Source organism: Homo sapiens, chromosome 6 (genome assembly GCF_000001405.40).
Source record: "Homo sapiens chromosome 6, GRCh38.p14 Primary Assembly".
NCBI classification, from domain to species: domain Eukaryota; kingdom Metazoa; phylum Chordata; class Mammalia; order Primates; family Hominidae; genus Homo; species Homo sapiens.
In genome coordinates, this window is record NC_000006.12 from 34890181 (window position 1) to 34904726 (window position 14546).

Here is a 14546-nt window from a genome sequence, read left to right on the forward strand (position 1 = left end):
TCCCGGGTTCAAGCGATTCTCCTGCCTCTGCCTCCCAAGTAGCTGGGATTACAGGCGCCCGCCACGACACCAGGCTAATTTTTGTATTTTTAGTAGAGACGGGGTTTCACCATATTGGCCAGGCTGGTCTCGAACTCTTGACCTCAGGAACCGCCCGCCTCGGCTTCCCAAAGTGCTGGGATTACAGGCGTGAGCCACCGCGCCTGGCCCCTCGCTTTTGTTTTATTAAAATTGCCTCTGGATGTATCATTTTCAAGATGTTCGTCTTTGAGCCTCTCTTGTGCTTGAAGTTCAAATTGTAGTTCCTTGTAGTGAACCTCATTGGATTAGTCTAAGTGGCATATGCAGGATTCATCCAGGGGCTTATTCATCTAGAAATAAAGGCAGAGAGACTTGTTTAGGAAACCGAAGGATGCTGTAAACTTTTCCAAGGTCTGTTGTTAAACGCTTCAATCTGGAGCTGTAAGGACCGAGGGAAAAACATCAGTTTTGTGTGGCTTCGAAGGGGGATTGGGGGTGCTTTGTTAGTGTGAGTTAAATGTGTTAGTTCAGCAGCGCTTTCATAGCCTGATTTCTTTTTCCTTCCTTGTTCTTTTGAGGTTTTTAAGAAGTGGAAGTTCATTTAGAAATGCCTTCGTTAGCTTTTGTTCCCCATTACTTTATGTAACTTCAGTTTGAGTGAGCTTGGACCATATAAGCCTAAGGCGCTAATAAATTGTTATTAATAGATATTAAGCACTGAGTACCAACCCAGGTCTTTACAGGAAGATTTTAAAAAGCAATATAAGTAGGTACTTAAGATTTGTTGAAGAAATAAAAGTATCAGTTGCAGGACAATAAATTTCTAAATAAATGGATGGTGGATGGTATTACTCGCTGTAATTGCTAGCAGCTCAGAGAACAGAGACATCATTTAGGGATGGAGTGGAAGTCAGGGCTTCCAAAAGGAGGGAGACTTAAGCTGGCCTTGAAGGATGTGAGGATTTGGGTAGGTGAGTTATGATGGGCATGTTTCAGGTGGGTACCCCATGATCAGAGGCACAGAAATGAGAATGGAGACTTATTTGGTGCTCCTTAGGCAACAGGAGAAGAACTTCCTGCCTGCACCCTTGAGAGGTTGGGCATAATAAAGGTAAATAATAATGGATGGGTATACTTCCATATATCATGTTTATATTCTCAGTCCCTAGATCAGTGCCTGACAACTTACAGGTGTTTAATAAATGTACAGTGAATGCATGAATTGGGTTTTGAATCTTACCTGGATTTGCCACTCTGCAGTTCTGATGTCTGAGAGGTGACAAGACTGTACAGGTTTGGAGATGCCTCTGTCTTTAATGAGTTGATGACATAGCATTTGGAGATTTTCCAGAGATATCTTAACCCTCAGCATATCCTGCTAAAGTGAGAAGTTTCTCATATCTCCCACCCTCAAACACAGGTCAAATTATTCTTTTTTTTTTTTGGAGACGGAGTCTCGCTCTGTCCACAGTCTGGAGTGCAGTGGCAGTATCTCAGCTCACTGCAACCTTCGCCTTCCTGGGTTCAAGCGATTCTCCTGCCTCAGCCTCCCAAGTAGCTGGGACTACAGGCAAGCGCCACCACACCCAGCTAATTTTTGTATTTTTTGTAGAGATGGAGTTTCACCATGTTAGCCAGGCTGTTCTCAATTTCTTGACCTCATGATCCGCCGGCCTCGGCCTCCCAAAGTGCTGGGATTACAGGCGTGAGCCACCTTGCCCGGCCTCAGGTCAAGTTATTCTTAGTGCGCTCACTCGGAGACTATTGAAATTCTGCTGAGGATTTAACTGCCATATAGTTAATATAGTTAAGCAAGACTAGGAAACCTGTTGAGCACAATGCTTCTACTTTGGGCCTCTTGCTGATGTGTCCTGTCTCTGCCATAAAGTGTGTTAACTCTCTATTCCCTAGAGTTAGAGAGCTGGCTCACCTTGACTTGCTTCTGTGTCTTTTGTAGAGAGGGTAAATGCCTAATAGCTTCCCAACCTCTCATTCCTGTGACTCCTAGGGGCAGGGAGGATCTGGAGGCACTAGTTACACTAATTAGAGGTGACTCTGGTTAAAGCTAGTAAAAGATTTCTGAGCAAATGAGACCATGCCTAGGTCAGTATGTCCTCCCTTTTTAGATGTGGACATAGTGAAGGGTAGGTTACCTCTGCTCCCAACCCTCTCTCCCCTAAAGACCCTGGATTATTTAATGAGAGCTGTGGAATCATAGCTTCAGATTTGGCCTTTGTATTAGCGGCCATATTCTACCCCTATTTGTACTGCCAACTGTAACTTGCCTGAAGTAAAGCTGGCAGAAATAGGAGCTTACAGTTGCAGTGGAATAATTGTTCCAGACCACACATGTGTTTGTGTATTCACCTGTTTGTGTTCCCCCATCCCGTATTCCACAAAGGCTTTGTGTTTATTCTTAAGCTAAAAAATGCCCTCTTCTCTTACCCATCCCTTTTCCTCTACACAGCTTGGGCTTAGGTTTTAACTTCTTAAAGCCCTTCCTGATGACCCTAATACACACAGATCTCTCAAGCTTCCATGTCTTTGGAGCACGTCATCTGTAGTGTACTTTGCTTGCCTAGCTTTCACAGTTGATCGCTTTGGCCTGTCAGTATAATGTTTACATATAGCAACCCTCACCGATTGATGCTATACCTGAGAATCAGAAAGTCAGCAAAGAAGACTTCTACTAGAAAAACATGTTGTTACAAACTTTGTGTTCTTCTAGCCTTCCTTATTTACTGGATATTTATTCAGGAACAGTATAGCATTATACTGTCCACTTTTTCTTAGCATTAAGCATGTTATAGCATTAAGACCACTTGTTTTTGTGTCAGACTTCCTGGATTCACATTCCACTGCCACCACTGACTAGCTGCTTGACATTATTCAAGTTAACCACTTTGATACTCAATTTCTGCATCTGTAAAATGGGGATAATACTATCTGCCTTATAGGTATCATCTTAGATAATGTGTGTACGGGACTTACCATAATTCCTGGCATATTCTAAGTCCTCAGTCTTAGTCATCCTCAGTTCAGCACATACGGTTTTGCTGTGTTGCACCTGTTCTGTGCAAAGTACCATGCCAGACACATTATTTATTTTTATTTTTGTAGAGATCGTGTCCCACTATGTTGCCCAGGCTAGTCTCAAACTCCTGGGCTCAAACGATCTTCCTGCCTCAGCCTCCCAAAGTGCTGGGATTATAGGTGTGAGCCACAGTGCCCTGCCTGACACATTTTAAATGGTGTTTTTTCATGCTTGGGGATCTGTTTTCCAAGCATGGCAGACTAGAAAGAGTAAATAAGGGAGAGGAATCATTCATATACCCAATGTTTACCCATGATATACTTTGTGCCAGGCCAAGTGATTGCTAGATGCACTGCAAAATATGTCTGAGACCTGGGACATTGTACGTGGTCTGTCAGAATTAGCCCCTCTCTTCATACATGTTCTGTTCCCTTACAGAGTTTATAGTAGTATGATACGTCTGTGTAACAGGCCAACAAAAAGGAGACAGAGAAAGCACACAAATTTAGCATAATTTATCCTACCTCCCGGCTGTTTGAAGCTATTAACATAGGTGTATATAGCCCTATATACCTATGTAAGCCCCAAGCATCAGTTTACTGTATCTTTGTGCTATGATTTATGTTTATTATGACTGTTAGCCATCAAATAAAGATTAAATTATGTTCAATATAGCTTGTTAGTGAAAGAAGAAAAAAAATATAGTTTTCTATCCAAAATGGTTTAAATATAATTTTTTTACTTAAAAGGATAAGCAATAGATTATCTAGAAAGCACAGTTATCCAGAATGTCTAGGCTTACAGAGGCTCTGGATTGCATGGATTATACTTTATATAATACTAACTCATTTTCTGATTGTTTAATGGATGCATGCCTTCGGTCTATACCTTGGGAGCTTGGGATAGGCATTCTATCAAACTTCTTAACTTACAGTATTTTTTAGTTCTGGGCACGTAGCGGGCACTCAGATTCTCATGTAACAAGACAGTTTGCTATGTTTAGAGTTATAGTGAAATACTGATTTCCAAGAAAGAAACTCCTGTATAAGAATATTGTAAGATTTGGTTAAAAGTAAATTCTATCAACTAAAAGGCCAAAAAGATCTGAGAAAAGGAAATGTTAAAACCAATCATGGCCAGGCACAGTGGCTCACCTCTGTAATACCAACACTTTGGGAGGCTGAGGCAGCTGGATCACTTGAGCCCAGGAGTTTGAAACCAGCCTGGGCAACATGCTGAAATCCCATCTCTACGAAAAATACAAACATTAGCCAGGCGTGATGGTGTGCACCTGTAGTCCCAGCTACTCGGGAGGCTGATGTGGGAGGATTGCTTGAGTCTGGGAGGTTGAGGCTGCAGTGAGCCAAGATTGTTCCACTGCATTTCAGCCTGGGTGACAGAGCTAGACCACGTCCTCACACCACCACCCCCCAAAAAAAGAAGAAAAAAGAAAACCAGCCACAATAGCTTCAAACTGTAAATTGAGTTATGAACTAAATACTGATGTATATGAATGGAAAAGTAAAGTGAAATGTACTTCTTAGGGTTCAGAAGCACAGAGAAACTAAACCGAAGATCACAGTTGAGGAGATTATGTTATGGTTTAGGAATATTTTATGCTTAATTTCTCAAGCATGAGAAGGGTGAATAAGAAAAGAGGAAGCCAAGGAGACTTGCTGGAGAATCTGAAAATTTATAGATAGTAGCAATGAATGTGGCTTTAAACTAATTTTTATGCTGCCATTTCATTGGGGGAATAAAAGAAAAAGAAAACTATTCCAAAACAGATATGAATTTCCCAAGATGTGAAAATGTTCTGAAATAAGGAATGAAGCATGAAAAATTTTGAAAAATGGACCTCATTTGGAGGATAATAACAGATTCTCCCAAATGTCAGAAAATATGGCAAGTAATTCATTGTTGTAAAGAAAGCTTCCTAATATTTATTTAAGGACTTTGGTTTTTTTTTTTTTTTAATTAAAAAAAAAAATTTAAGAGACAGGAGTCTTGCTAATGTTGTCCAGGCTGACCTTAAACTCCTGGGCTCAATTGATCCTCCTGCCTCATCCTCCTGAGCTATTGGGACTGCAGGCACATGCCACCATGCCAGGCTAGACTTCTTCCTCTTGTTAGTGTTATTATTTTTTAAACAGTGATTAGCATAACCATTCTATTGAAATGGTCCTTTATTCATTCCCAGAATGGATCTGAACCTTGGAGATTATAATGGCGTGACAGCCTTTTCTCATGCTGACCTTTTTACTTTTGCCCACTACTGTGCCAGATTTCTTTTGAAAGTGCCTATTTTGAGCAAAATGATTTTAACATCTTAAGGAAGAGGGCAACACTGACCATGTAAGGATTGTAGAATGGAAGGGCCTGGAAACAGATCTTGTGGATTTGAATTTGTCTGATCTAAGTTCCTGCTCTTCTAAGAGAATGCAAAAACAAGATAAAATGCAACTATCCACTAGCATAGCAGTTTTCTGGGTCTTCCACTAAACTATCTTAATTAATTAAAAATAGTTTTTCAAGAATGTCTTTCTTTTTTTTTTTTTTTTTTTTTTTTTCTGAGACAGTGTCTCTCTCTCTCGCCCAGGCTGGAGTGCGATGGCACGATCTCGACTCATTGCAGCCTCCACCTCCCGGGTTCAAGCGATTCTCCTGTCTCAGCCTCCCGAGTAGCTGGGATTACAGGCGCACGTATTTTAGTAGGGACGGGATTTCACTGTGTTGCCCAGGCTGGTCTCGAACTCCTGAGCTCAGGCAGTCTACCCTCAGCCTCCGGAAGTGCTAGGATTACAGGCGTTAGCCACCGTGCCTGGCCTTTTTTTTTTTTCTTTTTTTTTTCAGAGACAGTGTCTCACTCCTTCATCCAGACTGGAGTACAGTGGTGCAATCTCAGCTCACTGCAACCTCTGCCTCTCAGGTTCAAGTAATTCTTGTGCCTCAGCCTCCTGAGTAGCTGTGATTACAGGCATGCACCACTGCACCTGGCGAATATTTGTATTTTAGTAGAGACAGGGGTTTCACTATGTTGGCCAGGCTAGTCTCGAACTCCTGACTTCAAGTGATCTGCCTGCCTCGGCCTCCCAAAGTGCTGGAATTACTACAGGTGTGAGCCCCCACGCCCAGCCAAGAATGTCTTAAAATACTCCCTTTAAGTGTGATTTTGTTGGGAGGGCAGCCCTGTTCCTGCATTTTGGAATTGCTGTACTTACATTTTTGCTTTCTCTAAAGCAGAGTGTGGTTCCCATGTTAAAAAACAAAAGGAAACAAAAAAAGGTAACATGCTTGGAAATGACTTTTGTGGTAGTTACTTTATATGTAAAAATCTAGAAGGTGCCTAATCTTAAACTGAGTAAGGCATTTACTTAGAATTAAAGATAATTTACCCAGCCTGGGCAACATGGCAAGACCTCGTTTCTACAAAAAATAAAAAAACTAGGCCAGGCGCAGTGGCTCACGCCTGTAATCCCGGCACTTTGGGAGGCTGAGGCGGGTGGATCACCTGAGGTCAGGAGTTAGAGACCAGCCTGGCCAATATGGTAAAACCCCATCTCTATTAAAAATACAAAATCAGCTGGGTGTGGTGGCCTGCATCTGTAATCCCAGCTACTTGGGAGGCTGAGGTAGGAGAATTGCTTGAACCTGGGAGGCAGAGGTTGTAGTGAGCCAAGATCGTGCCATTGCACTCCAGCCTGGGCAAAAAAGAGCGAAACTCCATCTCAAAAAAAATAAAAATAAAAAATTAGCTGAGTGTGATGGCATGCACCTGTGGCCCCAGCTACTCAGGAGGCAGAGACGCAAAGGTGGGAGAATTGCTAGAGCCCAGAAGGTGGAAGGTTGAGGCTGCAGTGAAAAGAAAATTTACTACAAAGTTTAAGATTTAAAGTCAGTGGTCTCCCTTTTTCCTGCATCCTCCAATTGAAGTTCAGTTTTTACTTTCTTAGTTGCAAAAATTAGAGACAGGAAACAATGAAACAAGCTTGTGATCTGAAGAATTTGACTTGTATCTAGTAGCTTCAGCATGTTCACGGGTCATAGGAGGTTATGGTCCCAGTGAAAGTTACATTCTTGGCCAGAAAAATCCCTTCAGGAGGTTCTTTTTCCCACATTGGATTGTTCACCCCAAACAGCTGTGAATTCTGGTTTGCAAAAGGAAGTCCAGGCTATTTCTGCCCTAGTCTTTCATAGGGAAAGTAAATTACTGGGTTTTTAGCCCAGAAACACTAAGGAAACCCCAGAAGTAGACAGTGGAGAGTTTGTTCTTAGAAAAATCAGGCTCTCCTGTGGGTAGGAACTTGGTCTCTTTTTTGGAGAGCTCTCAGAAAATATTTCCCACACTGATTTCCAAAGGATTATTGGGAGATTTTCTGTGGTAGAGAAAATTATATCGTATAATATGTTACATTCATAGAACATCTTCACATAACTTTGGTGTGGTTAGAGTTAATGGTAGTAATACTGGAAATTATATGGTATGTCTTCATATTTATCCTTTCTCAGTAATTTGTAGATCAAGTTTGTTTAGTTTACAAATCAAAAAAGAGTTTTTAAAACAAGTCAGTTGTCTCTGCTTTGAAACAAGATAGTTGTATCTGTTTGTGATATTATTACCACTGATCCAGGAAGCAGAACTGCCTCCTGGCCTACTTAAGTGGTGAGGACATACTATGGTGGCTAAGGATCAGGTTCTGACCCAACTCTGCCTTGTGACTTAGGCAAATTAAGTCACTTTTCTGCGCCTCTGTGTCTTCATATATATAATGGGCCTGGGATGGTGCCTATCTTCTAAAGCAGCATTAAATGAGCTAAAGGATGTAAGGCATATAATGCCTGGCACATGGCAAGGGTTTGGTAACCCTCAGCTGCTAGAATCATCTAATGGGAGCCAGGTGCTTGCCACCCTTGATGAATCAGAGTGAGGACCCTGTTAAGGACATATCTTTTATTGATGTTGCCATTTTAACATTTATAATAATTCACAGCAGAAGCTCCCAACCTTTTAAACTATGAAGAGTCCCATAGTTTTAAAAAGCCTGAAAATTGGCAATGGTGGCAAAGTTACAAAGCAATCCAGGTCCACAATCCTTTGTTTGAAACCTTGGGGCCAGATATGTTTTCAGGGTGCTGACTCAATATTGTATATTGAGTCCCTAGTGGGACTGTGGCAGCACCCTGGAAACATTGTATTTCTACAGCAAAACCTGTAAATATTGACTAAATGGGATAAATATGAAGCCGCTTCATATCAGCGTAGGTCAGGTTTTGCAGCTAAATGACTGCTGCTAACTTATGAAAATATATTTTCAGAGCTTTTTGGATTTCTGAATTGTTGATAAGGGACTGTAAACCTCTGCCTTTATGGTAGAAAAATTGCAAGACAAAGAAATGCACTAAGAAGAAAATAAAATCAGTTATAATTTTACCACCTACAGAAATTAACTTGAAATTTTGGTGTACAATCTTGTTTTTTTCTGTGCAAACTTTTTTTTTTAACAGAAATGACATTATTTTGTATATACTTTGTCTCATGTTTTCACGAACTATATTGTGAAAACACTTTCCTATATTTTCTGTCCTCCTCAACCTCATTTTAAATGGATGTGATATCCGTGGTATATATGAATTGTAATTAATTTAACCCCTTTCCTGACATGGAACATGAGTTTGTTTTTCGTTTTTTGCTATTAGAACAGCTCTGTGATGAACATGCATGTGGATAAGTTTGTGTGTACATTCTGCTTATAACATTTGATATATTCAATAGAATGGTAGGTGTAGTTTCAACATTCAGCCATTGCAGAAATCAACAGCTGAATATTCAAATTGCACCTCAAAATCAACAAGAAACATACATGTTGTTGAATTTGAGGACTCATAGTAATTCTGAGGCCCCTTACATCTCCTGGGTCCTTCTGACTGGGAAGTAATATACTGATTTATGGTTGCTAAATACTACTTATATTCAGAAAGTAACCTTTGTGCAAGCCCAGGACTTTTTAATGGTTAACTTAAGGCTTTACTGGTTCTTTTTCATAGACCAAATGTTTAGAAGAGGGCCATTAATAATACAAATGCATGGAGCAATATGCTCCAAGCAGAATAAAATAAAAACAGCTTTATGGCCCAGCATGGTGGCTAATACCTATAATCCCAGCACTTTGGGAGGCTGAGGCCAGAGGATCACTTGAGCCTAGGAGTTTGAGAGCAGCCTGGGCAACATAGTGAGACCCAGTTTCTATTAAAAAAAAAAGTAATTAAAAAACAAAAAAAATAGCTGTTATTTTGTAAAGTAGAGATGAGGTCTTGCTATGTTGCCCAGTCTGGACGCAAATTTATTTTTTCTTTTAAATTATAGTTGAGACCTATTTACAAAAAGACTGATGGCCAGAAAAGATTACAAAACAAATCAGTTCAGAGCTGTTTACCTGAGTGTCTGAAAGGTTCTTAGACTTTCTGATGTGGTTTTTAGAACTTTAACTCTTTGCTGTACCTGGGGAGGAGCCCCAGTCTTGGCTTTGCTCATAACTATCCACATCATGCTCACCACTCTTCCTCTGATCCAGCCTGGTGGAGTCTGTGCATTGGCTTTTGTCCTCAATGGGGCCAGCCGCCTGATTCTTGCTTTTTCAGGTTGCCCTGCAGCCATGATCAAACTTCAATGCAAAGTCCAGCCCATACTGTAGTATTTGAAGTCAGTAACTCAATAGCTCAGAAATGTTGCTACTGACAGTATTGTGGGTGAGTGTGTATGTGTGTATTTGGGATGGGTGGGATGGTTTCACTTCTTGAGCACTTAATACTTTGCTCTGTCTGTGCCAAGGGCTTTACATACATGTATTTGCTCAGTTTACCTACACAACATGCCTGCAAGGTAATTATTGTTATTTCCATTTTACAGATGAAGAAGCAAAAGTTAAGAGAGAGGTTAAAGTGACTAGCCCAGGGCCACACAGGGGAGTGCAGAGCCTGGCATCTTTGTGATTCCAAAACTTTTGCTTATAAAGCACTGCATTTGGCCACTTGGAGAATCAGTCTCTTTGGATGAGACTTAAGCGACCACTTACTATATGCTTAGGTAAAATTTTGCTGAAAAGATTAATTAGGGATTTATTTAAGTTTAATAGTTGCTTTTATACCACTTCATGCTATACCCTTCTAAGCACTTTACAAGTATTAACTCATTTTGTCCTCATAACAACTCTCTCTGTTTTTTTTTTAATAACAAAAATAGAGATGGGGTCTCACTATGTTGCCCAGGTTGGTCTCAAGTTCTGGAGCTCAAGCGATCCTCCTGCTTCAGCCTCCCAGAGTGTTAGAATTACAAGCATGAGCCACCACACCTGGCCATAACAACTGTTTGAGGAATACACTAGTAGTATTGCCATTTTACTGGTGAGGAAACTGAAACACAGAGAGATGAAGTAACTTGCCAAGGTGCAGTAAGCTAGTAAAAGTTAGAGCTTAGTTTTGAACCCAGGCAGACAGGCCCCAGAGTCTTTGCTCTTGGTTATTATGCAACTGGGACTTCTTCCTTTTACCCAAGAATGTAACACAAAGTCCTTTGGGAAGACTTTGACTACATACAGTGAGGTAGGCTCATTAAAAAAAAAAATTGGCAAATTCCCTGGAACACAGGAAAGTTAGATAAAGAGAATGCCTTTACGTCTATGCCAAATAATATATTAGTTTAGAGAATGTGGGGGACTTCCCTATAGCTCCCACATTGCTTTTTCGGACTTCTAGAAAATTCTCATCTCATGTAGGTGCACGTGTTCATGAATTTTACCTGTGAGAAAATTTAAGTGGTCCCTGTGCCCCCCGCAACCAGTTCAAAATGATAAAAATTAGTTTTGGACCCATAAGCTACATAAACTGCCAGATGCACTACCAGGGCCAAAGTTTGTACAGGGGAAGTGAATCTAAACAATTGGCAAGAACCAAAAGCCTGTGTATTTGAAGTTATTTCCAACTCTGTTTTTTTTTTTTTTAAACAATTCGCTCCCTCATTAGTGATTAACAACCAAAATTTGCATTCTCAAATAATTAGTTGGCCCATAAAATGTTTTTCAGACAGTATTATCTGGCTGGTTCAAATGATGGTTGATGCTGTCTTGAAGCCTAGGATTATGGGATGGGAAATGTTACTTTCCATAATCCTTGGTACTTTAATCTTCACAATCCTTCAATACAGGTATTAGTGCCCATTTTACTGATGATTTTCTAGTGGTTAAATGACTGGCTTAGAACTGGGCTGAGGTGGGGTTTTTTTTGTTGTTTCTTTTCTGAGATGAGGTCTCACCCTGTCACTCAGGCTGGAGCACAGTGATGCAATCACAGCTCATTGTAACTTCAGCCTCCTGGGCTCAAGCAATCTTCCCACCTGAGTCTACTGAGTAGCTGGGACTACAGGCTCATGACACCATGCCCGGTTAATTTTTGTATTTTTTGTAGAGACGGAGTCTTGCCATGTTTCCCAGGCTGGTCTTGAATTCCTGGGCTTAAGAGATCTGCCCACCTTGGCCTCCCAAAGTGTTGGGATTACAGGCGTGAGCCATCACACCCAGACAGGACTGAGGTGTTCTGTTTGTGAGGCCTTTAAGGGTCCTATTTTATGCAGAATCATGGCTACCAAAAAGACGTCTGTGGAAGTATAAGGTGGAAAGTATAAGGAGAAGGTAGTATTCTAGCTAAGTAGCTCTGAAAATACCTATGGGTCCTATATACCTAACAGTAATAGAATAGGCCTATTACTTTTTACCTACAAATGAAAATACTTTAGATATTGAAATTGGCAGAGATTCCACATTTGTTACTTTTTAATCTATTGCTATCTCCATAATTGTGTGTTTAAGACTCAGCTGGAGAATAGTTTTCTTGCTAGTCACTCATCAGCAGTCTCTCTTGCCATCTTTAGCAGACCCAGAGCAGAGTTTCAAAAGACTTTTCAAGTAGATGATCCAGGGCTTAGTGCTTCATTTTAAGGTTTAAGTTTTTCTTTTTTGTTTCTTTTTTTTTTCTTTTTGAGACGGCGTTTCGCTCTTGCTGCCCATGCTGGAGTGCAATGCGTGATCTCGGCTCCCTGCAACCTCCACCTGCCGGGTTCAAACAATTCTCCTGCCTCAGCCTCCCAAGTAGCTGGGATTACAGGCATGCGCCACCATGCCCAGCTAGTTTTGTATTTTTAGTAGAGACGGGATTTCTCCGTGTTGGTCAGGCTGGTCTGGGACTCCTGACCTCAGATGATCCACCCGCCTCGGCCTCCCAAAGTGCTGGGTTTACAGGCGTGAGCTACCGCGCCTGGCCCAAGTTTTTCTTTTTAAAAGAAGGAGTGTATAAAAAATCAGGTCCAGTACTTTTACTAGATATGTTTTGTCGACCAAATTGACAGAGCTGTCTTTTTAAAAGATGTCTTTTTCCAGGCCAGGTGCGGTGGCTGTAGTCCCAGCTACTCGGGAGGCTGAGGCAGGAGAATCGCTTGAACCCGGAAGGCGGAGGTTGCAGTGAGCCAAAATCGCGCCATTGTACTCCACCCCGGGCGACAAAGCAAGACTCCGTCTCAAAAAAAAAAAAAAAAAGATGCCTTTTCCTTATCCATTATGATCTGTTAGACTTGCTATTGTCTTCAGTTACCATCATTTCCGGTTACCTTTCTCTTTAACATATGTTCTTTTGTAAAATTTATAGTTCATTTACAGAGAAAACTGATGAAAATAGCAATCCAGGTACCCTAGCGTCTTCTCATTCAATTGGCAGATATTTATGAAGACCTGATTCTTTTGGGTGAAATTTCACAGTCACTTAAAAATATCTGTGTTTGCTGAGAGGAATGCATTATACCAAATTATAAGTTTGGTATAATGCTGCTAGTACTAGCAGAATGATATAGTAGAAGCTAAAGCCAATATTTTTTTGGATGTATGTGTGGGGCGTTCCCACTGTAATCCATAAAACCCATTTCCAGTAACTTCTGTCTTCTGTGTTTTTTATCCTAATATTGTTACTTTCAAATTGGCTCATTGTGGGGTTTGATTGTCATTCTGCTGCACCAATTTGCCCATAAACCTCTGTATCTCTTTAACAGGCAAATCATCATGTAGAAAAACTTTTTTTTTTTTTTCCAAGAGAGGATCTTGCTCTGTTGCCCAGGCTGGAGTGCAGTGGTGGGATCATAGCTCAAGCTCTCCTCCAACCTCACTCAGTCTTTTGAGTAGCTAGGACTACAGGCATGCACCACCAAGTTTGCCTAATTTTGTTTGTTTGTTTTTTTAAATTGAGACAGAGTCTCGCTCTGTTGCCAGGCTGGAGTGCAGTGGTGTGATCTTGGCTCACAGGGGCCTCCACCTCCCGGGTTCAAGCGATTCCCCTGCCTCAGCCTCCCGAGTAGCTGGGACTACAGGCACGTGCCCTCATGCCCGGCTAATTTTTTGTTCGTTTGTTTTGTTTTTGTATTTCAGTAGAGACGGGGTTTCACCATGTTGGCCAGGATGGTCTCGATCTCCTGACCTTGTGAGCCACCCGCCTCGGCCTTCCAAAGTGTTGGGATTACAGGCATGAGCCACTGTGCCCAGCCCATCTGCCTAATTTTTAATTTTTTTATAGAGGTGGGGTCTTGCTTTGTTGCCCAGGCTGGAATGCAATGGCACGATATTAGCTCATTGTAGCCTTGAACTCTTGGCCTCAAGCAATCTTTCTGCCTTGGCCTCCCAAGGTGCTGGGATTACAGCACTGGCTGAAGAACATTTTCTGATGGATTGAATCAGCTGTGAGTTTGGGCCACAAATCTGGGACTTTTTAAAAAATATGAATACAGTCGTCCCTCAGTCTCCATGGGGGATTGATTCTAGGACCCCTCGAAGATACCAGAATTCCAGCTCAAGTCCTTTATATAAAATGGCGTAGTATTTGTGTAAAACCTGTGCTCATTCTCTCGTATGCTTTAAATCATCTCCAGTCTAATTATAATACCTAAATACAGTATAAATGCTATGTAAATAGTTATTAAAACATATTTTTTAGGGAACAATGAGACAAATAGCCTGTACATGTTTAATATAGATGCAGCCATCCATTTTTTTTCTGAATATTTTTTTTCCATGGTTGGTTGAATTCACAGATCTAGAACCCATCAATATCGAGGGCTAACTGTATTATGTAATAACCTAATAACCACCAGGATTGCCTTTCCTATAATTAAAAAAAAAATTATGGGCTGGGCTCAGTGACACAAGCCCGTAATCCCAGCACTTTGGGAGGCTGAGGTGGGCGGATCACGAGGTCAAGAGATTGAGACCATCCTGGCTAACATGGCGAAATCCCGTCTCTACTAAAAATACAAAAATTAGCTGTGTGTGGTGGCGCACGCCTGCAGTCCCAGCTACTTGGGAGGCTGAGGTAGGAGAATTGCTTGAACCTGGGAGGTGGAGGTTACAGTGAGCTGATATTTCGCCACTGCACTCCACCCTGGTGACAGAGCGAGACTCCA

The 14546-nt window shown here is 41.3% G+C and overlaps 1 protein-coding gene across 10 annotated transcripts in view; it reads left to right on the plus strand.

The window, feature by feature from the left end:
• The window catches only part of ANKS1A (ankyrin repeat and sterile alpha motif domain containing 1A), a 208736-nt gene that overhangs the window by 926 nt on the left and 193264 nt on the right, over nucleotides 1-14546 (plus strand). The gene's annotated exons all lie outside the window — the stretch shown is intronic.